Source organism: Homo sapiens, chromosome 8 (assembly GCF_000001405.40).
Source record: "Homo sapiens chromosome 8, GRCh38.p14 Primary Assembly".
Lineage (NCBI taxonomy): Eukaryota > Metazoa > Chordata > Mammalia > Primates > Hominidae > Homo > Homo sapiens.
The window spans coordinates 56,294,825-56,320,432 of record NC_000008.11 but is presented as its reverse complement, the minus strand read 5'-3'; the positions used below and the strand labels follow the sequence as shown (position 1 = coordinate 56,320,432).

The window sequence follows — 25,608 nt, the reverse complement described above, 5'->3', positions numbered from 1 at the left end:
AATACCTGGGAAACTTTTCTAGCTAATGCCTAGGCCCCTACCAACCCAGAAATTCCCATCTAATAATCTAGGGTACAGCCTAGGCATTGAAACGTTAAGCCTAAGAGAAATCCGGCGCACGCATCCAGTTTCCACCACCGAATTTCCAGCTTCTTAAATCTGCAGGTCCAGAAAAAGAAGATGGGAGTGCTGCCCACGTCGCGCACTGGGGCTACGGCCGGCCCCACCCCTGGCGCTGCCGCGGCAGTCCCGCCCTTGGACTTGGGCGGCGCCTGGATAAACACCTGAACCTGACTGAGCTCCGAGCCAGGGACTCGGGTGCCTGGGGCAGACGAGGCCGGCTTCTCCGCGGACAGCTAGGGAGAGTGTCCTGGGTAAGTTGCCGAGGTCGTCGGTCCTGGGTGCTGGCTCCCGGAGGAGGTCGCGCTGGCGGGGGTCGGGCGAGGCCGCCCTTTGGGCTGGTTTCACGCTGGGTCGCTCGCAAGGGGGCGCGGGTCGCCGAGCCGCGGCAGGACCCACCCGCGAGCTGGTGAGAAAGCAGCTGCACCGGGTAGCGCACGGCTGAGCGTCCCAGAAGCCCGGGCTCCCGTGGCTACGGCTAACGCAGACCCCTCGCCCCCGGGGGTGAGCTGCCAGCCTCCCTCCCCACCCGGAGCAGAGGGCAGGATGCCTCCCCGGACCCTCTTCTTCGGTCCGTTCTGCCCAGGTTCCCTGCTCTCTGCTGCTCAGTGCATCCACCTTCCGGGTGGATATCAACCCCCATATCACCCCTTTCAACCCAAGCTGTGATTGTCAGTCTGTCTGCCCTCCCGTTTCGTCCGGGTGCCCTCACCAGAGCCGACTTGCTGCCGCGCACTGGTATGGGAAGCCGAGGGCGCCTGTTTGGATTGGGTAGGCCGCGAGATAGGGACACCTAGAAGACTTCTGCCAGATTAAATTGTATACGCTCCGTAACATTCTAGGAAAGTCTTTGCAGTAAAATGGAACCGTACATTCACTCTTGTTTGTAAGTATACTATAACCATATTTAATTGATATAGCCAGGGATTATTAATTCATATGCTTAACAGGACCAGTGGAAGTTCTAGCCATTAATTATTTTGCTGTCATTCTGTGCCTGGCACTGTTCTAGAAAGGCCTCCATGTTTTATGGCTGTGCCACATTATTATGGGGATTGAGGAGCAGAGGGGGAGACATGTAAGCTGGCAGGTGTTGAAATCCAAACAGCTCCTCTTGCACCCCCTCCCCAACCCCTTGCACCCCGCAGAGGACTTTGTGCAGGGCAATGCCTTTTTTTTTTTTTTTTTCTAATTTGTTCGAAGGTTTCACACAAGCTAGTAGTGACCACATAATGCTCCTTAAAACTTTACCTATATAAACTGGTTTAATTCTCACAGCTCCTCTGTGTGGTAAGTATTCCTATGCACTATTAGAAACTCCCTTTTTAGAGGAGGAAACTGAGGCACAAGAGATTAAATCATTTCTACCAAAGTTGCAGGGAAAATCAGTGATATATCTGGAATTCCAACCCAAACTTTAATCTCTAGACCTCATTGCCTGTGTGGGTACCCAGCAGGCACCCTAAACTTCAACTGGGGAAGGGAGGTAACTCAGGCTGACAAGCTCTTAGAAATCTAGTAAGCATCTGCCAAGACAGGGTTAAAAGATGGACATATTTTAGGTCTTGCATCAAGCCAACATTGAGACAGTGGAACACTGAAATCTAGAATGTCCTGACATTAAGAGCGTTCATGTCACCCAGGTCAATGTTGAGACTTCTGGCCACTGCTGAGGTGCTGGAGCCCTGTGATGGGAGAAGTAGACCTCTGTCCCTCTATGTGAATTCACATAGTGATATAAAAGGGAATGTGGTGGTCTGACCAACTACTCCTGGTGTGGATTTTCCAAAGTTGGCGACGCCCAGGCTGCTGTCTGAGAAGGGCGCCTAGGGTTTCCCATTACTGTGTGCACAGTCTGACCCTCATCCTTGCAGATCCACAGGTACAGGCTCCATGTATTTGATATGAGAGTCCTCTTTCAGGACACCTTTTCAAGTTCTGCAGTGCCTGAGAGGCCTGATCAATCATTCAAAAGTTACTCTGTGAATGTAAATCAGAGCAAAGATCACAGAGAGTTTGAGGTCTATTTCATCAAAGCATGGATGAAAACGTTCTTCATTTGACCAGAGCATCCATGTTCCTTAGAGCAAACATTCTTATTCTCTGGACAGCCCTGGACACACAGGTCAAACCTGCCTTAAAACAAACTATTTTGTCCCTCTGCCAGGAAAGCTACTGCTCAATATCCCTACCTCCCACCATCATCATTTGGATATCCACTCAAAGGGTCACTTTCCAGCAGACATCTGTTGCTTCCTCTCCCAAGCCCAATCTGAATCAGCTCTCCGATCATCCTCTCCATAGCACACTGCACTTTTCTTTATAACACTATGGCTTATAACGATCTGTTTATTTGTTGAATACGTCTCTTCAACTAGATTACTTGGCTCACCTGCACAGAGATTATGAGAGGCTGCCCATCCCCTCAGCCCCAGTGCCCAGATAGAACCAGCACAGGGTGGATACTCAATAAACATAACACATGAACCAATCTGGCCCTCACCAGCTAACCAGCACAGGGACCCTGAACAAGTCACATACATCTTCTCTTCGATCCTCAGTCTCATCTGTACAATAAGCCAGGAACAACAGCCTGGGTTGCATCGACTCTCGACATTTCCTAAGGGTGTGACCACATACCAAGTCCTCCTGTAGATGAATCTATCCACCCTTACTCATTAACCGCAACTAGGCTGACTTCAGCCAAACTGTGAAGACCTGCTCTTTTTTCATTACTCCCCTCCTGTCTCCTCACACCTGTGCCTTTGTCTGAGCCTCTCAATTAAACACCCCATTCAGAGAAGGCTCCCACCCCCAGCACAGTATGCTGTCTGCTAAATATGTCTTCTGTTCCCATCCTGAAGGAAATAAGACCTTCCCTTCTTTCTCAGCTAGTGGTTAGTAAAGCACACCTTATATATTCATTCACACTAAAGTGTGAGTAACTGGTAGCAGGATGTAAGCACTAAGCTCTGTATGAGTTTGTCAAGGGGAGGCCTTTTATTCATTCAGCAGACCTAGTGGATGCCTTCTTGGTGGGCAGCACTATGAATCTGAGAAATGTGATAACATCTGTAAAGCACTGACTATAAGCCAGGCATTGTGGTCATACGTGGAACATTCTCATTTCATCTGCAAAAACACCCTATGCCACGGGACCAATATAGATGAAGAGACCAAGGCCCAGTGTAAGGCCAAGAGAACCCCCGCCATGGGGTTCACAGGTAGGCAGAGGCAGTGCAGGGCAGGAGTCCAGGTCTGCCTCGCCTGTGACCTTTAATCACACAGAGTGGTAAGTGATATAGAGCTGTTGGTGCGGGGACCTCAGAGCCTAGGGAAGGGCTATCTGGTGCTGATTGCAAATCTGTCGGAAAAGGTCTAGAACATCTGGTTACTTCCTGTCAAATGCTTTCTACAAATAGGACTTTACATTTTCCTCTCAAATCTCAGATTTTAAATAGTAATGCAAAATTAACGAGAATGCAAATGAGAAAGCACAAACATCAAAGGAGAGAAACATAAAGCCAGAGAGGTAGTAATGATGTTATAAACATTGTGATGTGGTCAAGACTTTGAACATAAAATCAGCCAACAGGATTCATTATTATTATGAAGAAAGGCTAACTATGAGCAATAATGAACTTATTCTTTTGTGTTAAATTTGGGTGTGGTGGTTACAGTTCCTGGTTAACAAACATTTCTGTTGTGTACTGCACATAGCAGGCATGCAAATAACATGCTGAGCCTGGGGCCAAGTAAGAAAGCCGAATAAGTATAGTCCCTGTGGCTTCCTCCTCCCACTTTCTGAATACAGAGTCTGCTACCAGGAGAGCTGTTTAAATCACATATCTCAGTTACTTTCACTGTTTCAGAAAATAGGAGCTCCGTGGAGTAAACAACTCAGAGGAAATGGACAAATAAGTCTTCATGTGAATCTGTCTTTCTTCACAGGTGTCAGCCAGAACATGTCTTTCAACCTGCAATCATCAAAGAAACTGTTCATTTTCTTAGGAAAATCACTGTTTAGTCTTCTGGAGGCTATGATTTTTGCCTTACTCCCAAAGCCACGGAAGAACGTTGCTGGTGAAATAGTCCTCATCACAGGTGCTGGAAGTGGACTCGGAAGGCTCTTAGCCTTGCAGTTTGCCCGGCTGGGATCTGTTCTTGTTCTCTGGGATATCAATAAGGAGGGGAATGAGGAAACATGTAAGATGGCTCGGGAAGCTGGAGCCACAAGAGTGCACGCCTATACCTGCGATTGCAGCCAAAAGGAAGGAGTGTATAGAGTAGCCGACCAGGTAACTCTTGTGTGTTTACTATTATAATTTGATACACATCACACTCTTTTTCACTTGCCTTTCTCAGTGCCTATTAGCCTGTCTCCAGTGTCCCTTTAATGTAAACAAGATTATGGGAGAATGGGAATTGGGATTTTTGAATTCTTATTGTATGCAAAGACACTGTACTAACTACCATGTATGTATTATAACCTTATAAAGTAAAACCCATTATTATCCCTATTTCACAAGTAAGGAGACTAAGGCTTAGGGCAGGTATGTAGCTGCCCTAAGAAACACAGTTAGTAAACAGCAAGACTATAGCTGCCACTTGCATCTATTGACACCTGAGTACCTGCTTCTAACATTACACTGCACGGACCATACCGGCCCCTATTACAGTGTAAGTTAATGGAGGGATAGAGGCATCCTTCTTTAAGAATAAGGACTCGAGATACAGAGACATTAAATAACCTGTCCAGCGGTCACAGACCTGGTGTGTGATGGAAGCAGGATTTGAATCCATATTCTGTCTGATTTTAAATTTAGGCTGTGTCCACTCCACCACAGTACCCTACGTTCGAATGTGTATTGCTCTTAAGTAGTCATAAGACAATCAGAATCTTTTATTAATCCTAAAGACTCAGCTATATTTTCTTCTTTGGGGTTTATACAGATACACACATAAAGCTTTCAGGAAACCAAAGCTCTGACATGAAGATGGTAGGGATTTTCTTACCATCATAGAGGCACGTGCCCGTCCCTCACAAGGAATTTTTTTTTTTTTTTTGAGATGGAGTTTCACTCTTGTTGCCCAGACTGGAGTGCAATGGCACCATCTCGGCTCACCACAACCTCTGTCTCCTGGGTTCGAGCGATTCTCTTGCCTCAGCCCCCCGAGTAGCTGGGATTACAGGCCTGTGCCACCATGCCTGGCTAATTGTTTTGTATTTTTAGTAGAGACGGGGTTTCTCCATGTTGGTCAGGCTGGTCGAACTCCCGACCTCAGGTGATCCACCCACTTTGGCCTCCCAAAGTGCTGGGATTACAGGCATGAGCCACTGTGCCCGTCCTAAGGATTTTTGTGTCCTCATATTGGCTTGAGTACTTCACTCATCACTCTCCTGGGACACTTTGTGCCTCCCAGAATTGCCCAACTTATTGAGAAGGGAAGAACCAACCAAGCCTGCCGTGAGCAGCCTGACTACATTGTAAAGTTGCTCCTTAGCTTCTAGGCTCAATCAGGATTTCCTTGCTAAGGTTTGCAGGTCCCTGGCAGATAAGTTTATGACTTTCAAGTTTGTCTTTACATTTTACCTCTCTGCCACCACCATCTCCAAACACAGGCTGCCCAGTACAGGCTGGAGATCCACACCTGACAAATTTGCTCGGGCCTACGCTGGGCCCACTCTTCCAAGCACAGCTGATCTCACAAATTCAGCTACTTAGAAGTTAAGCACTGATCACCTGGCATGTTGACTTACACTGACTACAATTTATCTGGCCAGCCTTAAGCAATAACCGGTTGATGTTCAAACGATGAAGATTGTTAGCTATGGGATAAACTAGTATGAAGCACTCTATAAATAATTACTTCCCTTTTCCCTGTAACTGTGATTTAGTTCTGCCCCAGGTGCTTGACTTCAGAAACAGCCAAACATGTCATATTACTAGCTTATTATTCAGGTTTTATCACTGTGGGGTCTTGAGGGAATTACTTATGTGCTCCTCTGAATTCAGGGGAAGGAAATTACTCCCCATCCTTATAAACCCACCATTTCCACTTTTTATTCTGGATAGAAAGGAAAGTACCAGATAATTTTTTTTTTTGAGACAGAGTCTTGCTCTGTCGCCAGGCTGGAGTGCAGTGGCATGATCTTGGCTCACTGCAAACTCCACCTCCCGGGTTCAAGCGGTACTCCTGCCTCAGCCTCCCAAGTAGCTGGGACTACAGGTGCACGCTACCACGCCCAGCTAATTTTTGTATTTTTAGTAGAGACGGGGTTTCACCATGTTGGCCAGGATGGTCTCCATCTCTTGACATCATTATCCACCCGCCTCGGCCTCCCAAAGTGCTGGGATTACAGGTGTGAGCTACCGCGCCCGGCCAATACCAGAGAGTTTTTAAGAAGTAGCCCTTAGACGAGCAATCAAAGAGAAAGCTTTCAGAGTGATATGACAGCGTTTTGTCTCTGCTGAGTCTCCAATAACTTTGAAAGCTTGTATCCCTAGGCCATAGCTTAGCCTTGAGTTCAGGAAGTCCATCCTTGGAAAGAAGAAAACCAGCCAGTTGATGAAAACAGGACAGGCAGATTCTAATCTGTGCTGTGTGTTTAAAATATATACAGTCGTGCACCATATAATGACATTTTGGTCAGTGATGGACCATATACAAAATGGTGGTCCCACATTATGGGACAGATTATTACAGTATTTTTACTGTCCCAATGTTCTATGATTAGATACACAAATACTTAACCAATGTGTTAACAGTTGCCTACAGTGTTCAGTATAGTAACACACTGTACAGGTGGGTAGCCTAGGAGCAATAGGCTCTACCATATGGCCTAAGATGTGTAGTAGCCACACATCTAGGTTTATTAAGTACACTCTGTGATCTTCACATAGCAACCAAGTCACCTAACAATGCACTTCTCAGAATGTATCTCCATTGTTAAGTGATTTATGACTGTACTTTCTCTTTTCCTCTATTTATTCCCTAATCCAGCCCCTTCTCCGTGTGTGAGGTCTTGATCTATGTCACATTTGGCTATAATGAAGCTATTCTTATGTCCCATCATATTGATTAAAATGAAATGCCACATACAGAGCACAGAACAAAGTTACTAACCACTGAGTAGAAGAACAGCTCTAACTGTAAACAGAAAGTAGCATTTTGAACATGGACTCATTTTAAGAAGAGAAAAATGGGAAAAGCACATCAAAACTTGATCTCTGGAGGTCAGGCGCAGTGGCTCATGCCTGTAATCCCAACACTTTGGGAGGCCAAGACGGGTGGATCATGAGGTCAGGAGATCGAGACCATCCTGGCTAACACGGTGAAAACCTGTCTCTACTAAAAATACAAAAAATTAGCCGGGTGTGGTGGTGGGCACCTGTAGTCCTAGCTACTTGGGAGGCTGAGGCGGGAGAATGGTGGGAACCCAGGAGGCGGAGCTTGCAGTGAGCCAAGATCGTGCCACTGCACTCCAGCCTGGTCGACAGAGCAAGACTCCATCTCAAAAAAAAAAAAAAAAACTTGGTGTGTGGTGCATTGTAGACTCAGCAATGGAAATAAACCAACCTGTATTTATTTCTTTATTTATTTTTTTAGATGCAGTCTCACTCTGTCACCCAGGCTGGAGTGCAGTGGTGTGATCTTGGCTCACTACAACCTCCACCTCCCTGGTTTAAGCAATTCTCCTGCCTCAGCCTCCCGAGTAGCTGGGGCTAGAGGCACGCATCACCATGCCTGGCTAATTTTTGTAATTTTAATAGAGACAGGATTTTGCCATGTTGGCCAGGCTGGTCTCAAACTCCTGTCCTCAAGTCACCCCCCTGCCTCGGCCTGCCAGAGTGCTGGGATTACAGGTGTGAGCCACTGCGCCTGGCCCCAAGCTGTATTTTTAGAGTGCATAAACTCAGTATGAATTAACCAGGATAAAAAAAACATAAAACTCTGGGAAAATAAAACCTAGCCCATGTAAGGAATTACTACATTGGTGGTGTTGCTCTTATTCAATTCAGGTTAAAAAAGAAGTCGGCGATGTTTCCATCCTAATCAACAATGCCGGAATCGTAACAGGCAAAAAGTTCCTTGACTGTCCAGATGAGCTTATGGAAAAGTCATTTGATGTGAATTTCAAAGCACATTTATGGGTAATAATTGTTTCTTCTCATCATAAATGTAAAATTATTCTGGCATTTGGAAGTATTTTCCTCTTGCTCTTTTACAATATTATTAGCCTCTAAGTAAAGCAGAGACTTCTCAGTTTTGGACTTGTCCTGTTCTACACAGTTGTCCTTTTCTGATGCCACTTAATCTACAGCCCCCAGGACCTCTGCTTAGGGAATTCTACAAGGACAGAACTGTCCTCATGGTCCTGCTACCATGTATTGATTAGCTGCAAATGTTAGGAAATACTCCAGGTGGCTCACATATTTTCCTTAAAACAGCTCGGTGAGATAAGGGATCATAGAACTTAAAAGATTTGCTCCAGGCTACATAGCGAGCAACTGCACTTAGACAGGACCAGGGTAGCTTTGTAATTTGCCTAAGCTGGGACACTTTTGGAAGTGAAATTCAGCATTATTAATGAGCAAGTGTTAATCAGGTCTGTTATGGGCAAACCAAAACCTATAGTCACCTTAGTTAGTACCCAACCAGAGAAATTAGAGGTTCCACTGGTAACCCAGGTTACCACCTGCTACCAGCGCTAAAAGCACAGTCCTGACTTCTAAAGCCACCCACTCAATTCCAGAAGTTGCATGTTTCTGGCCTTTGCTGAGACCAGCCATCTCAGGCCTCCCCACACTATGCATGCACCCTCTTGCTGCCTCTCCCAGCTTTTATTAAAAGTTGTATTTTTATTTTACTTTATCATTTTATTTTAATTTTTTGAGACAGAGTCTCATTCTGTCTCCCAGGCTGGAGTTCAGTGGTGTGATCTCAGCTCACTGCAACCTCCAACCTCCCGGATTCAAGCGATTCTCGTGCCTCAGCCACCTGAGTAGCTGGGATTACAGGTGCGCGCCACCACACCCAACTAATTTTTTGTGTTTTTAGTAGAGACAGGGTTTCACCACATTGGCCAAGCTGGTCTTGAACTCCTGGCCTCAAGTGTTCCGCCTGCCTTGGCCTCCCACAGTGCTGGGATCACAGGACTTTTGACCTGTTTGGTTCCAGCCCTGCTCGTAGCTCGTCATTCCTGGGCAAGGCTCTCTCTTGGGAGTCTTTGCTGGAGATTTCTGAGCTCCTCCTCCATTCTCCTCACACCTTTCCACCCAAGTCTTCTTTAGCAGCCTTCAAATGTAATTTGGAATTTGTAGATTTTCTGTCCCCTATTTCCACCAAAAATGTAATGGTGCTGGTGCTATTCTTGGTGTTTTGTAAAGTTTTCAGGAGAAAAATGGAAAGATTCAGAATTTAGTGGCTACCATGTTCCTACAAGAACTACTGCAAATGATTTATCTTGTCCCAAATGTCCCTCTCCTTGGTGCTTGCTTATACTCATATATAGTCAGAATGAAGATAAAGACCATGGTCCCTGGAAGTCTCCACTCCCATGGCTTTGTGTTCTTTTTCTTTTTTTTTTTTTTGAGATAGAGTATCACTTTGCCGCCAGGCTGGAGTGCAGTGGCGCGATCTCGGCTCACTGCAACCTCCACCTCCCGGGTTCAAGCAATTCTCCTACCTCAGCCTCCCAGGTATCTGGGACTATGGGCGCACGCCACCACACCCAGCTAATTTTTGTACTTTTAGTAGAGACAGGGTTTTGCCATGTTGGCCAGGCTGGTCTCCATCTCTTGACCTTGTGATCCGCCCGCCTCAGCCTCCCAAAGTGCTTGGATTACAGGTGTGAGCCACTGCGCTTGGCCTGGCTTTGTGTTCTTTTCCTACCTCTCTGTTTTTCCCCAGGTGCCTTCATGGTGTCTGTCTCTCTCTTTTCTTCTTTTCTTCTTCTTCCTCTTCCTCCTTCCTCCTCCTCCTCCTTCCTCCTCCTCCTTCCTCCTCCTCCTCCTTCCTCCTCCTCCTCCTTCCTCCTCCTCCTCCTTCCTCCTCCTCCTCCTTCCTCCTCCTCCTCCTTCCTCCTCCTCCTCCTTCCTCCTCCTCCTCCTTCCTCCTCCTCCTTCCTCCTCCTCCTCCTCCCTCCTCCTCCTCCTTCCTCCTCCTCCTCCTCCCTCCTCCTCCTCCTTCCTTCTCCTCCTCCTTCCTCCTCTTCCTCCTTCTTCTTCTTCCTCCAACTCCAACTCCTCCTCTACCTCCTCTTCCTCTTCCTCCTCTTCCTTCAGTGCTGGTGTTTCCCTGGCTCCTACCACTCCTCATGTCATCTCACTCCCTTTACTTCTTCTGGGCAAGTTCATGTACATTCTTTGAGCATCTGCACATTGCCAGGCACAAAGACAGTGACTTAACTGCTAGAGCGTCCAAGAGCTACCTGAAGGCTGGGCTCTCAAAGGCAGTGTCCCTACTGAGAAGTGTCCCAACTCATGGCAGACCCCAGAGTGTTTGCTGCACTGCTTCCTTTTGCTTTGTTTTGATTTCCCACCTCTCTCTACCTGTTAGTTTCTCTCTGAGACTTATTGCAATGCAGGCAAACAAGTGAGGTTTGGCCTTTGTAAGAGATCCCTTTTCTCACCTCCTTGTCTTTGGTGTGATTAGTTACTCCTTTGATGCAGAAGATGTCTTCCTTAAAAGCTCATTTCTGTCTCTTTTACCTTCTTTCTCCAGGCCCCCAATCAAGGGTGAAGGTGTTGGACAGAATACAGATGTGTCCTCTTTCTAATAGATATTCTGTTTTACGAAATGGAACAAAAATAAGAGATGAGTTTAAAACAAAGTGCTCTTTTAAAATTGAAGTCAACAGCCAGATGTCCTGTGAACAATGTTCAGGGAAAATTTGAAACTCAAAATCAAGCTAAGCAGAGAGAAGGCAATCTAAATCTAAAGCATCATGTTTGTGAGGTTTGGGGTTGTGGCTGCCACAACAAAGATTTACTCCTTCAATTCTTGTTTTAATATTGTGTCGTTAAAAGTCAAATATGAGCAAAAACATAAGTCTGAATAAATTATTTTAATAATACTGGAATTGCCATAAAAAACTGATTTAACAGGTTAAATAAGTTAAAATGATTACTTTCCAGATGTTTAAGTTTTTATATCCCCATACCTTCAGATATTTTACAGGCTGAAAAAAAAAGATTTTTTAATCACAATGAGTATATAAATATCTGAGAAAATTATACAATGTGGCATTAAACATTAAAAGTTTTCCTTTGTATTCTTAGACTTATAAAGCCTTTCTACCTGCTATGATTGCTAATGACCATGGACATTTGGTTTGCATTTCAAGTTCAGCTGGATTAAGTGGAGTAAATGGGCTGGCAGGTAAGAAAAACATAGCAATTTACAATTGCAAAATTCCCTATAACTTTAACTTACACAATAGCTCTGAATAATTAGCACTGACTTGATGCCCTAAGATAAAGGATAATAAACTAAAAAGTATAGTCAATAAGTGGTTGATAACTTCATCGTGTAGCAAAACTGCCCATCAGATAGACTTACATGAAATTGGACTATGCCCTTTGGAATCATTAGGTCTTATGCAGTACCCTGTGTTTAAAAGAGAGAGAGGCCTCACTGATAAATTTTTTGCACAAGTGATCAACAAAACAACTGTCCACCAAAGTTCACACTGACACTGTCACAGATGGTAAGGAGGATGACCCTGTCTTCTCCTGAAGTTTCCTTTAAGTGGTCTCCCCACTGCTGTGAGTTTGGATAAAGTTTCTACACCTCAAGATACCTAAAGTTAACTGCTTTGTTTTTCCACTGGTTGAAGACCTGCAGGAAGTGGTGGGCATTTTCATCTCCCTTGCAACAACCAACTGACTTGACAGTAGCAGTGGGGAGAGGGCAAAGAGATCCTTCAAGACCCTCAACCAAGGAGGCCCAACTTGGGAGCTGGCTCTAGAAGGAATAGAAATCTTGACCTAACCTACCACAGCATCCCCTAGAGGAAATGTCCCAAGTCCTGGCTTACAAACATTGCTAAAACTCATCCAACAGAACTGTAGCAGCAACATTCGGATAACAGATAAGCCAGTTTGCCAGTTGGGTGGTTCCTAATGCTTTTGAAGCAAAGTGGCGTAGTTCAAGATTCACAAAACCAGTCTTAGCTCAGTATATCTATTACATGAATAGGTTTTTCAGGACCACCAGTCACCCCAAATATCACCAGTCTATCCTCCTTATGACCCAGGACTTCCCTTCCTCTCTCCTTCTTAGAACTTATCAGGTATTATTCTTACCTCCCTCTTATATATCTGTTGTCACGGGCCTTTGAAATCATTCAGGTATATTTACAGCTCCTTATCAATCCTTTTCAGACAGAACATTCCTGTCTTGAGATACAGGACTCTCGCACCTGCAGCTCATCTTAGAAACAAGTATAAGCCTTTTGTATTTCCCACCGTGTGAGTCTTTACTCCCCTGCATCAGAACCACCGGGGTGCCAGTTTAGCATGCAGATTCCTTGGGTCATGGGCCATATCTGCTCATCAGAATCTCAGGGGTCAAGGGACTCAGCTGCATTTATACCTGATGACTCCAATGACCCTAGAAGCTGCTCTGGACTCCTCGTCCCCCTTCCCAGTCTCTAGCCTCTGACCCACTGTCTGGACAGCACTAGGGCTGGACAACCCCACGCCTGGCGCTTATAAACTGGCTCTTGCCAGTTGCAGTAGCTGCACCGTAACATAGCAAGTTTAAATATGCCTCCTCTGAATGTGTGGAGCAAAGGAAAGTGTTAATGTACCTCAATGCCATTTCTTCTCCAAACTTCTTCACTTAGTCAACTGAATAGTCAGATGTTTTGTTAAAACAGGTATGATTAAAGACAAAAAGCTGAAAATGGACACAAATGCCACTTTCCACTCCTTCCTCTGCCCCCACCCTACATTTTCAAGGTATTTAAGAGGTGGAGGTTGAAGCTACCAAGCCCTTTTTTTTTTTCTGGAAGTGAAGGAAAGAGTTATAGTTGGAAGAAAACTTCATCTGAGAATCACAACCCATGCTGGCCTCTCTTGCCTAGATTCCTATATCACTTAGTGTTTTATTTCTTCTTTTGAATGTCTTCATGCCCCAATGGGATTGCAATTTTTTGAGACAAGGCACCATGTAAGAACTAGCACAGGGGCTCACAATGCATTTACTTGTAAGTAAAGTCCAGCAGTGTGACCTGAGACAGGATCTCTGCAGCCCTTCTTGTGCTGGGCTCTACTTGGTCATTGTCAACTGACCCTGATCTTCAGTTAACCATGTCCCTTCCCACTCCCTGCTCACTTCTTCCAGTGGGAGTAGACCAAGATTACACAAAAGGAGAACTCTGAAATTGTCTTATTTTCTGTCGCTGTTAGCGTTATGGGTAAACCTTAATGTAATGCCATTTTAAAACTTTGGAATATACGTTATCATGCTTTGTCTTTTTCAGATTACTGTGCAAGTAAATTTGCAGCCTTTGGGTTTGCTGAATCTGTATTTGTAGAAACATTTGTCCAAAAACAAAAGGGGATCAAAACCACGATTGTGTGCCCCTTTTTTATAAAAACTGGAATGTTTGAAGGTTGTACTACAGGGTAAGTATGTCCTTTAATTTCAAAGAATCTACACTCTTAAAAATGTTTTGCTATTTTATTTTGTTCTTTTTTTTAAGTTGTTTAAAATATATTGTTCTGGGATTCAGTATGATTTATAAATGGTTTTAGAATTCTGTCTTTCTTAGTATGTGTTTGTGTGAAGGATACCAAGTTGAATGGGAATGGTTTATCAAGGCAGTGTCTCTCAGCTCCCCCAGGCCCTGGATCTGCTCCTCCATTTCCCAGACTCTCAGGGCCACATCCCCTTCCTGCCATCCAATCCCATTCTGCTCCCTCTCTGATTCCAGGAGGACTAGAAATAACTGGAGAGACATTGTCTTGGTCATATAGAAGGAGCTGCTATAATGAAGTATCATACACTAGGTGGCTTAAACAAGAAAAATGCCTTTCTCACAGTTCTGGAGGCTAGAAGTCCAAGATCAAAGTGCTGATAGGCTCTTCTCAGACAGGCACTAATCCCATTCATGAGGGCTCCACACTGGTGACCTAGCTACACCTCAAAAGCCCCACCTCCAAATGCCGTCACATTGGGAGTTTAGGCTTCAACATGTGAATTTTTGGGGGGACACAAATACCCAGTCCGTAGCAGTCACAGATGCCCAATTCTGTATCTCATGGAGACTACAGGCAATGTGTTTTCAACAACTTGCCTTACAAATATTTGGAATATTTGTTTAATATGGTTTCACGTATATGTATATTGTAATATCAGTGTATTAATAATCATTTTTCATTTCATATTTTAGTTATGTTACTACTTACTGCATTGACACATTGATAATAAAGGAGTAAATATAAAAATAAATGAAATTGAAAAGCAAAGAAATAAGTGATAACGTCTTAAAACCTTTTATCCCTAATTTGAAAAATTATCTTTATTTATGAATTTGGCCTTCAGGGTTTTTTTTAATTGTTGTCATTTTATATCCTAGCTGTCCTTCTCTGTTGCCAATTCTGGAACCAAAATATGCAGTTGAAAAAATAGTAGAAGCTATTCTACAAGAAAAAATGTACTTGTATATGCCAAAGTTGTTATACTTCATGATGTTTCTTAAAAGGTAATTACATCAGCTTCTATTACTTCCCTAACATGCCAGTCTACAGTTTACTCCAAATCCCACCAGGAGAAGCCACTTTAAAAATACCTGATAAATTAAAATTCATTAATTTAATTCTATTAAGTCCTGTTAGTCCTATCATTGTGCCCATTGCTGACACAATACCAAATTTACACAGTTGCAGTGCCCGCCATGAGTCAAGAAAATGGGGTCTAATCCTTCCTGCCACCTTAGTATCGAATTATTCTGAAAAAGAAGTGGATGTACTGATAGATGGAAAGATCGAAATGATTTTTTTAGGAGAGATTTTCTTGCGCTCATGATAAAATAATCCTGTTGGAATAGATATTGTATCCATGCCTCCTCAAGTACAGGGTCCCAAAGTCAAGGCCAGACAGTAAGCCAAGTGCTATAGAAATTTGTGGTATGGGTACAATTAGCAATACATAATAAATTTGAGCTCTTAGGATGGTTAAAGAATTTGAGGGAAAAAACTTAAAACCACCTCTTAAAAGCAAAAGAACAGGCTGGGAGCAGCAGCTCACGTTTGTAATCCCAGCACTTTGGGAGTCCAAGGTGAGAGGATTGCTTGAGGCCAGGAGTTCAAGACTAGCTTGGGAAACAAAGGAAGACCCCATCTCTCCAAAAATAATGAATAAATAAGCCAGGCATGGTGGTGCACCCCTGTAGTCCCAGCTACTTAGGAGTCTGAGGCAGGAGGATTGGTTGAGCCCAGGAGTTTGAGGCTGGTATACACCTATAGTCCCAGCTAGTCAGGAGGCTGAGGCAGGAGGATTGCTTGAACCCAGGGGTTTGAGGCTGCAGTGAGCCATGATCAGACCACTGCACTCCATCTTGGCAACAGAGTGAGACCCTGTCTCTTAAAAAATAAAAAACGTACATGGTGGTGCACACCTGTAATCCCAGCTACCCAGGAGGCTGAGGCAGGAGAATCGCTTGAAACAGGGAGGCAGAGTTTGCAGTGAGCTGAGATCGCGCGATTGCCCTCCAACTTGGGCAATAAGAGCAAAAACTCCGTCTCAAAAAAAAAAAAAGTGCAAAAAACATTCTTGTGCACCCTTCCCTGCTCTCCATGGAGTTTCAGTGCTGAAATTCATAGGCACTGAATGAACATTTGACCCACTTACAAGGATAGTGGTGAGCTGCTGATTCCTGTTATCTCAATTCATTTTCTAGACTGTAACAGGTCATCTAATTAAATCTTTCCTCACTGGGCTTTCTGCTGTGTGAGGAAGCACCTTGAGTTGAAATCTGCCTCATTTGAACTTCCCCTCATTGGTTTGTGCTTCTCCCCCAGCTCCATGTGCAATTCCATCAGTCTTGCCAATGACAATTCCTAGTTATTTGAAGATAGATATTATACCTCACTTCCACTACATGGCCAGCAGCCATTGTCCATCCTGTGTACAGAAATTTCTTTTCTCATTAGCTAATTATATCTACTTTGTGCAATGAACCAAATGTCATTCTTGCATACTATCATTTTTCCAGGCTTCATCTGGCACAGGATGGGTCAGAATGCCTGACTGAGGCTATGTGGGACAGAGCAAAGGATCCTGGACAAGCAATTCGAAATTCAGGCTTACGATCCCACTATTCACTAAGTCTGTGACTCTGAGCGTGCCCTTTATTCTCCAGGTCTTGGCTTCTTCATTTACATTGTAGAGACAATGTTTGTCGTAGCTTGTAGATTCGTGTAATGCACTGTTTATTGGGCAGGGTGTGCATTCACAACACACTAAGTTCTTTTTGCTTAATAGATGGCAGATTATAGTATAGTAATGCCAATGGTAAGAACACGGAACTTAATTTTTCTACTTTGAATAACTGTGGAGATTATGTTTAGTTTTATGCAATACTAGTTATGGGACATGTTTTGAGAGAGGGCTAGATAGCTGCTGAGTAAGCTAAAGGCAAGGTGAAGAAGATCAGTAAAGGCAATCACATCAAACACTCCACCAAACATTCATTCAGCAAATATTCAGAGAGTGCTTTGTGTGTCATGAATCACCCACCATCCAAGGATCTGCGCTTAGGGTTACAACAAAGAACAAGACAAACAGTGGTCCCTGCCCATGTGGAAATCACTTCCTGTGGGGTGAGGGGGCAGAAAAGAAACAAACAAAAAAGTAAGGTAAAAGAAAAGACCATAAGTGCTCTGAAGAAATATAAAGCAGGAAAGGGAAAAAAGGAAACCCCACAGTGGGAGGTAGATGGGTGCAAGTTGAGTTTTACTTTTTTTTTTCTTTTTTTTTTTTTTTAAAGATGGAGTTTCGCTCATCACCCGGGCTGGAGTGCAATGGCGCAATCTTGGCTCACTGCAACCCCCGCCTTCCCTGGTTCAAGTGATTCTCCTGTCTCAGCCTCTCGAGTAGCTGGGATTACAGGTGCCCATCACCATGCCTGGCTAATTTTTGTATTTTTAGTAGAGATGGGGTTTCACCACATTGGCCAGGCTGGTCTTGAACTCTCGACCTCAGGTCATCCACCCACCTCAGCCTCCCAAAGTGCTGGGATTACAAGCATGGGCCACTGCACCCGGCCAAGATTTACGTTGTTGTTTTTTTTTTAATTTTACTCTTTAATTTTTTTTGGAGACAAGGTCTTGTTCTGTCACCCAGGCTAGAGTGCAGTGGCTTGATCATAGCCCACAGCAGCCTCAAACTCCCAGGCTCAAGCCATCCTCCCACCTCAGCCTCCCAAATAGCTGGGACTATAGTTGTGCACCATTATGCACAGCTAATTTATTTTTATTTTTTTAGAGATGGGGTCTTGCTATGTTGCCCAGGCTGGTCTCAAATTCCTGGCTTCAAGCAATCCTCCCACCTCAGCCTCCCAAAGCACTGGGATTACAAGCATGAGCCACCACATCTAAGTGAGATTTAATTTTTTTTTTTTTTTTTGAGATGGACTCTTGCTCTGTTGCCTAGGCTGGAGTGCAGTGGTGCAATCATGCCTCACTGCAACCCCCACCTCCCGGGTTCAAGTGATTCTCCTGCCTCAGCCTCCTGAGTAGCTAGGATTACAGGCGTGCACCACCACACCTGGCTAATTTTTGTATTTTTAGTAGAGATGGGGTTTCACCATGTTGGCCAGGCTGGTCTCAAACTCCTGACCTTGTGATCTGCCCACCTCAGCCTCCTAAAGTGCTGGGATTACAGGCGTGAGCCACTGCGCCCGGCCGGTGAGAATTAATTTTAAGAATGGTGTTTGGTGGGTGGAGGGAGTCTCATAAAGAAGGTAGTACTTGACCAGAGACTTGAAGCTGTGGGAGGGATGAACCACCTGGAGATCTTGGGGTGCCCAAACAGGGGAACAAGGAGCATGGGGTCCTTTCCTTTACCCCCACCTTAGGATGAGTCTCAGGTTTCCCGTGCCTGCTTTGTTTCCTTGCTCTGCAGTATTGAATGCAAAGGCCAGTGGAGCAGAGTGCTCTGTTGGGATGATGATCATGCATGTATATGGCTTTGCAGAGGGGCAGGTGTGGATGGAGAAGATGGACAGTGTTAGTTGGGTCTTGCCCAAGGTTTGAGGAGCTATTGCATCTCATCCTCACAGTAGCGCCAGAAAGGCAGACTGATGACCTCATTTTACAGTTGAGGAAACTGAGGTCTATGAGCTGAGTCGATTGCCTAAGGCGGCACTGCAAATGACAGAGCTAGGATTCCAGCCAGGCTCATCTGCCCCCAAAGCGCATGCCTACAGGACAAGACTTCACTGCTTCCTCTGTGTCATTGTACAGTGGAGTGATGCTTTGGAAACCGAAATGAGAAGTGAATTGAATAACTTAAGCCAGAAGACCTGTCAAGGCCCTGGGCGAGTGTCCCCGGATATAGTGAACAAGGCCCAGTGACCCTGAGGCGGGTAGCACTCAGGCTGCATAGTGTGTGCATGAGTGAGTGACTTCATCTGCCACAAGAGGTGACACTGCTTTTCAGTAGAGGTGGTAAAGAGGCTTTCATGAATGATAATAAAGAAAGTTTATTCTTGTGTTCTCTTTAGCTTTTTGCCCCTCAAGACAGGACTGCTTATAGCTGACTATTTGGGCATCCTTCATGCAATGGATGGCTTTGTTGACCAAAAGAAGAAGCTCTAAAGACCAACTCTATGGCTAAGGTCATCTGATACACAGTGTTACATAATGCGTACTTCAATGAAGAAAAGTATTTTTGTCTGACAGTGGAATATATCTGGAGACCACAAGTACCACTCCTATTCTGTTATCTGGACTAGAATTTTCAATCAATGTGTTTGAAAATAATGTTGCTATCACCTATTTGGTTGAGTTTTGGTTTTTTCTTTTTCTTTTTTTTTCCAAAAATAAAGACAGCCCATTTTTGTCATTTCCATTACCACAGATGTAAGAAAGTGATAAGCCATGGCCATGAGCTGCCCTGAGCTTTGGTCGTTGGGGAGGTGGCTCAAATGGAGCCAGCGGCTGTGGTTGACCTGCCTTGGGGAGCAGGGCTGAGGGGCGAAGAGGACATGTGGATATCCAGCCAGAATGCCCTCTCTCCAGAGGACACACAGCTCTGGATTTCTACCCCCTTGCTATCCTCTCTGGCCATTTTGAACCTGTACCACCTAATGTAGAAAAGGCCCGCCTCCAGTGCCCTTCTTTCCAAAACAGCTACACAAATGCTTCTGAATGCCCTGGATACGCAGACCGAGTGGCAGTCTGGCTAAAGGCCCATCCAGCACTATTGTGCCCAAGAGCCTTACCGGGCATTCCCTGAAGCCCCCTCATAGGCAGTGATCCTAGACCAAACTCTTAAATAGAATCACTTTTGTTTCCTAGAAGAGATCAAAGAGTGGTTGCTTCTTACTTTGAAGATGAAATTATACCAAGTTAGGTTTTTTGCTATCTATTGATCCAAAAAATATATTCGTGCAATTAAAGTTAAGTGTTCAACTTAGTATTTCAAGTTGGGATTCAGGTTGAGGCATTTTCCTGCAGAATGGGCAATTTTATGCATTTATATTCATCAGTGCTGCCCTCACTTTGGATCTATTGTATTCTTACAGTTTAATCAACTGGCAAAGTGCTTTCATGCTTTGGAGATTAACTATAAAAGCAAGATTAAGAAAAATATGTTAATTACCATATCCCTGGAACTCCTTCTCAGGCTGGTGGGGGCAGCCTTGCAAGAGAAACAGCAGCCTTTGTCTCTTCCCTCTTGTGGGGAGCAAGGAGGGGATGAGCGGTACCTTGGGAGACCCGGTAAAAGTCTAAAGAATTGAGAATTTGACTATCTTGGGGGTAAAATGCTGTCATAGGGGCAGCAGTCTCAGGGGGTGTAAACTCTGGAATCCACTATGGTTTACCTTGAGTGGCCTGCACGAACATGACAGCCCTGATCTGTATTTCCTTTCCATTCAGAAAACCTTAAAAAAAAAAAACTTGTTTTATGATAATATTATAACAATCATAACTAACATTTACTGTGCCCGGCAGCAAATTAAGTATTTGACAAACATTATTTCATTAAACGAGACTGTCAATCATTACTCAAAGAATGATGAAGGTATTTGGTGTATGCCAAAGAATAAAGGCGTTTTATTTCACAGTGACATCTTATTCCACTGTAGATGTATACTGAGAGGATCAAAGGCCCTCTCAGAGTCACCCACTGATGTTCCAAATCCTTGGTTAACAAGGTTAATTAAGAGAGAAGCACAATATTGCTGTAATATTACAATTCCAGAAGCGTATCTTCTAGGGTCCTGTCTATTTAGTTAAAGAATAAAGCTCAGACTCTTCGGGGATTCAGTACAACAAAGGTCCAGGAGCACTGCAGGCATCCTCCACATCATAACAGCATTAATAGCAATTATTTCTAATTGGAGTGCATCTTGGCTGGACTGCGACAAAGGCCTGAAATTCAATTGTGGTTTTAAAATACCCATAAAATTGTCTAAACAAATTCAGATTTACTTGAGATGCTTCTATGAGAAGAGACCACATGTAAATTAGTGGATTCTAGAGGGCACTAAATAACAAGGTGATTTAATGCCCTGGGGAGCAAGGAGTGCTCTTGGCATGTGTGTCATGCCCGTTTCCATCAAAATTTAGTCCTAATGAAGCCATGACCAAGAGCCCAACACCTAAGCCAGGCTGAGGAAACAGAAGGACACAGGGCCAGGGCTGTGCCCCATGCCTGGGCATTCTGCCCTGCAGGGCGCATCTTCCAGCATCTTGTACTCACTGAGCTGCTCCAAAGCAGAGAAGAATTCTTGGTGTAAGATGGAGTTTTGCTGGGTAAAAATGTGTGTCATGCCGTGTGTGTGTGTGTGTGTGTGTGTGTGTGTGTGTGTGGTTTTACATTGTGATGCTGTCTTAGTCCATTAGGGCCACCATAACAAAATGCCACAAATTGAGTACTTTAAACAACAGAAATTTAATTCTCAGAATTCTGGAAGCTAGGAGTTCAAGATCAAGGTGCCAGCTGGTTCATTTTCTGGTGAGGGCTCTCTTGCTGGCTTGTGGAGAACTTCTTGCTGTGTCTTCACAGAGTCTTTCCTTGGTGTGTGTGTGTGGAGAGAGAGAGAGAAAGACATATTTCTTCTTCTAAGGACACCAGTTCCATCATAAGGGCTCTACTTTCTTGACCTCATCTAACCCTAATTACCTCCCAAAGTCCCACATCATCCCATATGAATTTTGGGGTAACACAGACATGCAGTCCATAACAGATGCCAAGATAGAAAAAAACCAGACCACAAATGACATTTACACTCCTTAGAGTCCTCATGCTGAGATGGTCACAGTTCATCAGATGAAATAATTCTGAATCTTGGAGGCAGAGTGAATTGAGAATGCCTGAAAGAAATTAATTCCAACCTGCCAGAGTCAGCACTTGAGAAAAATATGACTGAAAATCTGGGCCACCAGACAAAAACTGTTGTGAAGCCAGACGTCCCATGCAGAGCAGCTCTGGGACGAACATGTCTGGTGCTAGGCACCCTCAACATTCCAGGCTCATGAACCATGTTGGACCGGGAGCAGGGCTCACATATGTAATTCCAGCTCTTTGGGAGGCCAAGGCAGGAGGATAGCTTGAGGCCAGGAATTCAAGACCAGCCTGGGCAACACAGCAAGACCCTGTTTCTACAAAAAATTTAAATATTAGCCCGATGTGGTGGTGCACACTTGTAGTCCCAGCTACTCAGGAGGCTAAGGTAGGAGGATTGCTGGAGCCCAGGAGTTCAAGGCAGCAGTGAGCTATGATCACACCACTGTACCCCAACCTGGGTGACAGAGTGAGACTTTGTCTCTAAAATATTAAATAAAAAATAAGTAAAATGCAGCCTCAGGTAATTTGTCCATCTCTTTGATTCACATTGGCTTCTAAGCCCCCCAGCTTTCATGTCTACCATGTCATGGTGATTTTTATGGAAAGATCCCCAGGGATTTCATTCCTCATGAGATTTTATTTCTCATGACTGACATTATTAATCTCTCAAGCAGGTGGTCCTGGTGACACTTCTACCTACTGGTCTCTTCTGCTGTTCACTCCTTAAATTGTTTGTGTTCTTCAAGTTTCTATCTTTGGATTTCTTTGACTTTGTAGATTCCTTCTGAGGACTCTTAACCATGCCCATTGCTCCTCCACACCATCCAAGCTAGAAACCCAGGTATAATGCTCTACTTTTACTTTATCTGTCATCTCCTTGTCCAATCAGTAATTAAATCCAGTCTGTGCTACCTCTCGACCTCATTAGCATGTTGTCCTCACCATCCCAACTGCTATTGCCTTAGTTCAGACTCTCATTGTCAGTTCCCTGCCGGGGCAATAGTTTCCTGGCCACTCTTTCTGCATCAAGGCTTGCTTGCTCTGTCAGCGAGGATTTCATTCAGCTGGGGTAACTGAAAACTCCAGTGTAATAAGGGCTTGAAGAAAGTAGAAGTGTGTTTCTCCGTTATGTTTAAAAGCCTTGGGGTAGCCATTAAGGGTTGGTAGGGTGCTCCACAGAGTCAGGGACCCAAGCTCCTTCTGTGCATTTGCTCGGCTATGCAGGCTCACGTCCTGAACATCAGTGATAAGTGTGATCTACAGTGACCACTGAAACCTCAGCCATTATGCTCACATTCCAGGCCGCAAGACCCCAGAGGGCATAAGGCACCCCTGCACTCTTTCAGTACAATCTGTGGGCATTGCACACCCCAAAACACCACATCCTATTGGTCAGATTTCATCACATGACTAAAGCAGCCCTCAAATGATGCTGAGAAATATGGTCTTTATTTTGCACCACCCTGAGCCACCTAAACACCAGGGATCCTATTACTGTGGGAAAAGATAAGATCCAGATGTTGGATGTTAACTTAAAAGTTTCTGCCACAGTCTTCCCCATACATTTATGTATTCTCTTCTAATCAGACAGAACGCACAGACCCTCTCCACTGTAAAGATCTGCCCAGTCACTGCAGGTCACTAGAAGTCCAGAACCTATGGCGCTAGGCAGCACCCTCCATCAGATCCTAATATGACTCTTCATGGCCGAATGACCAAGAAGAGACAAGGTGAGTGATTCACCCCCATCTCACTCTACATACAGTGGTGCAGAGAAGCAGAATAGCCATGATTAGAGTCAGAAATGAGAAGGAAAGGAGACAGGAGGAGAAAGAAAGGGAGGGGAAGGAAGGGGAGGAGAGGGGTAAAAAAAAGAAAAGAGAAGGGGAGGGGAAGGAAAAGACGAGAAGAGAGGAGGGGATTCGAGGGAAGGGGAGAAGAGAAGGGGAAGAGGGAGGGGAGCAGAATGAGGGGAGGCCAGGAGACTTTCCATTCAAAACCAGGAAGGGGACAGAAGAAACACAGTGATGGTCCACAGTGATGGGATTTTGCTGGGCAGGAATCACAAGTGCTTCCTTTCTCAGGCAGCCCTGCTTGCTTCTACTCTGTGATATGCCATCTTGTCCATTGTCCTCCATGAACCTAGAGGGTTCTTTGTTGTTTAACATTTTCCCCGCAGCTGAGGTGAGCTTTGCAGACTATATTCTCTCTCAAGGCTACACAGATTGTATAGTCTCAAACTAGAGGGAAGAAGAATTATAGCCTGTGTCAAGGCTGTCTTCACTTTTGCAATACAATTGGCTCCAATAACTCAATTGGCTTCTTGTGTATTTATTTCATCCTCCTCATTGGCCGTTTAAACCACTGCCACAGATCTTGCTTGGACGAAGCTTTAAGACTGAAAGCTGCTCTGTAACTGGCACCTGTGCTCTGCCCATGCCTGCCTCTGTCTCTGGTAGATGTGGTGGGAAAGGTTTAGGGGAAAGGCCATACCCATGGTGTGATGTTTATTGCTGACTGGATCCCAGGTCTGGCAGTCAACCCTTAACGGAAGGTGCTGGGGAAAAACTTAGGACCACAATGTTTCTTCCCCTAAGGCCATTGTCTGGGATCTACACTTCTGAGGGCCTCCCATCAGGCACAGAGGGTGTTGGCTGTTTCAACCCTCCAAGGCTCCAAATTGCCATGCTCTCAGTCAACTTGGCTTGCAGGTAGAGAGGGCTGGGTTCCCTCCCTCCTCTGCTTGCATGCTATGCTTTCCAGACTGAGCTCCCTTCTGTGAGTTTCTGCTCAAAGCTGCAGAGCACCCAAGCCACAGAAAAATTCTGAATTTGTCTTACCTTTTCCCTTCATGCTACAGTCATACTCAGCAGGTAATACATTTTCCAAGGTAGAGTAGGATCCATTTGAACCAAATGTTTCCACTGCCAAACAAGTATGCCCAGATTTCTGCAGAATCTGGAAGATTCTGAACACTTACCACCTCTCACCTACGACACGACCTTCATTATACCACATATTTCCATTTCCGTTATGGGCAGCACTTCCTGTATGGTACTAAGTTCTATATTCACTATAACTGTGGCCCCAAGTAAACAGCCATGTAAGAGCTATGAAAGTCTGCTCTTGTCAGGTGAAAGTCCAGAGGAAGACAAACCATGTCTTCTATGTTGGTTCTGCTATAACAAGAAGGAACCCAGGCTACTGACAGCTCCTCGCTCTGCCATCCCAAGAATGTGACCATCATCATTAGGGTCAAGAGAGCAGCAGACCTAGGAAGGGATAAAGACGAAAGCAATCAAGGCACCGATTTGCCTTTTAAGAATATTTCTATTCCCTAGAAAGCAGACCCACATTAAAAAAACATAATAAAAAGACTATTTCTAGAAGCTCACACAACACTCCCCTCAAATACTATTAGTTGAGATGCAAGGATGCAAGGGAGACAGGTGATTGTAGTTTCTAGGACAGTAGCCATGATTCTGTCGAATGACTGTGAAGATTTCTAAGAGTAGGAAAGCAGGCATCAGTAATCTTGGCCATGGGCTCTCTCAAGTCACAGATGTGGATTCAAATCAATCAGTTTAGCTATGCAACTAAACTGATTGAAATCAAGTGATTTGAACTTTCTGAGACCCTTTTCCCATATCTGTAAATGGCTGCAGTTCTTCATATGACTGTCCCAAGGATTAAATGAGTTGACAGTTGTAAAATGCCAAATGCAGGGTTTGACACATGCTAATGCTCAACAGACATCAGTATCTACTGTGTCCCCTATCTAAACTCTGACCTTGAACTTCTGGTATCATTTGAAATCTCTTTATATTAACATTTATATATCTACTCACTTTTTCCCTCTATATGTTAAGAATATTTTGATATTTCACTGTGGGAAGTAGAATTGCTTAAAGCTATGGATTTTAATTCTTTTTAATAGAAAATTGTTTGCCTCACTCT

The 25,608-nt window shown here is 44.5% G+C and overlaps 1 protein-coding gene across 3 annotated transcripts, besides 1 other annotated feature; it reads left to right on the top strand.

Moving 5' to 3' along the window:
• Window positions 1–257: 257 nt before the first annotated feature.
• SDR16C5 (short chain dehydrogenase/reductase family 16C member 5) lies at window positions 258–20,428 on the top strand. Of its 3 annotated transcripts, NM_001318049.2 has the most exons (8): window positions 258–374; window positions 4,072–4,418; window positions 8,145–8,276; window positions 11,406–11,505; window positions 13,613–13,757; window positions 14,711–14,836; window positions 16,349–16,495; window positions 18,860–20,428. In NM_001318049.2, the coding sequence occupies exons 2-7, from the start codon at window positions 4,086–4,088 to the stop codon at window positions 16,467–16,469; spliced, it is 957 nt and encodes a 318-aa protein (NP_001304978.1). In that variant the 5' UTR covers window positions 258–374; window positions 4,072–4,085; the 3' UTR covers window positions 16,470–16,495; window positions 18,860–20,428. The 3 variants fall into 3 exon arrangements, with proteins under 3 accessions (NP_001304978.1, NP_620419.2, NP_001304979.1); NM_138969.4 differs by lacking the exon at window positions 16,349–16,495; NM_001318050.2 differs by lacking the exons at window positions 8,145–8,276; window positions 16,349–16,495.
• Window positions 24,053–24,554: an enhancer, noted in NCBI's record as "NANOG hESC enhancer chr8:57208438-57208939 (GRCh37/hg19 assembly coordinates)". NCBI's record gives its function as "activates a minimal SCP1, AML or CMV promoter by ChIP-STARR-seq in naive H9 embryonic stem cells {active_cell/tissue: H9 hESC(naive)}" and the evidence as "EXISTENCE:reporter gene assay evidence [ECO:0000049][PMID:30033119]".

What these genes read in the sequence shown, in the direction of transcription:
- SDR16C5 (NM_001318049.2), top strand. Translation starts at nt 4,086, where the DNA reads ATGTCTTTCAACCTGCAATCATCAAAGAAACTGTTCATTTTCTTAGGA. An exon ending in ATTTCAAAGCACATTTATGG is followed by an intron (nt 8,277 to 11,405) that starts GTAATAATTGTT and finishes TTGTATTCTTAG; the next exon opens with ACTTATAAAGCCTTTCTACC. An exon ending in TTTGAAGGTTGTACTACAGG is followed by an intron (nt 13,758 to 14,710) that starts GTAAGTATGTCC and finishes TTTATATCCTAG; the next exon opens with CTGTCCTTCTCTGTTGCCAA.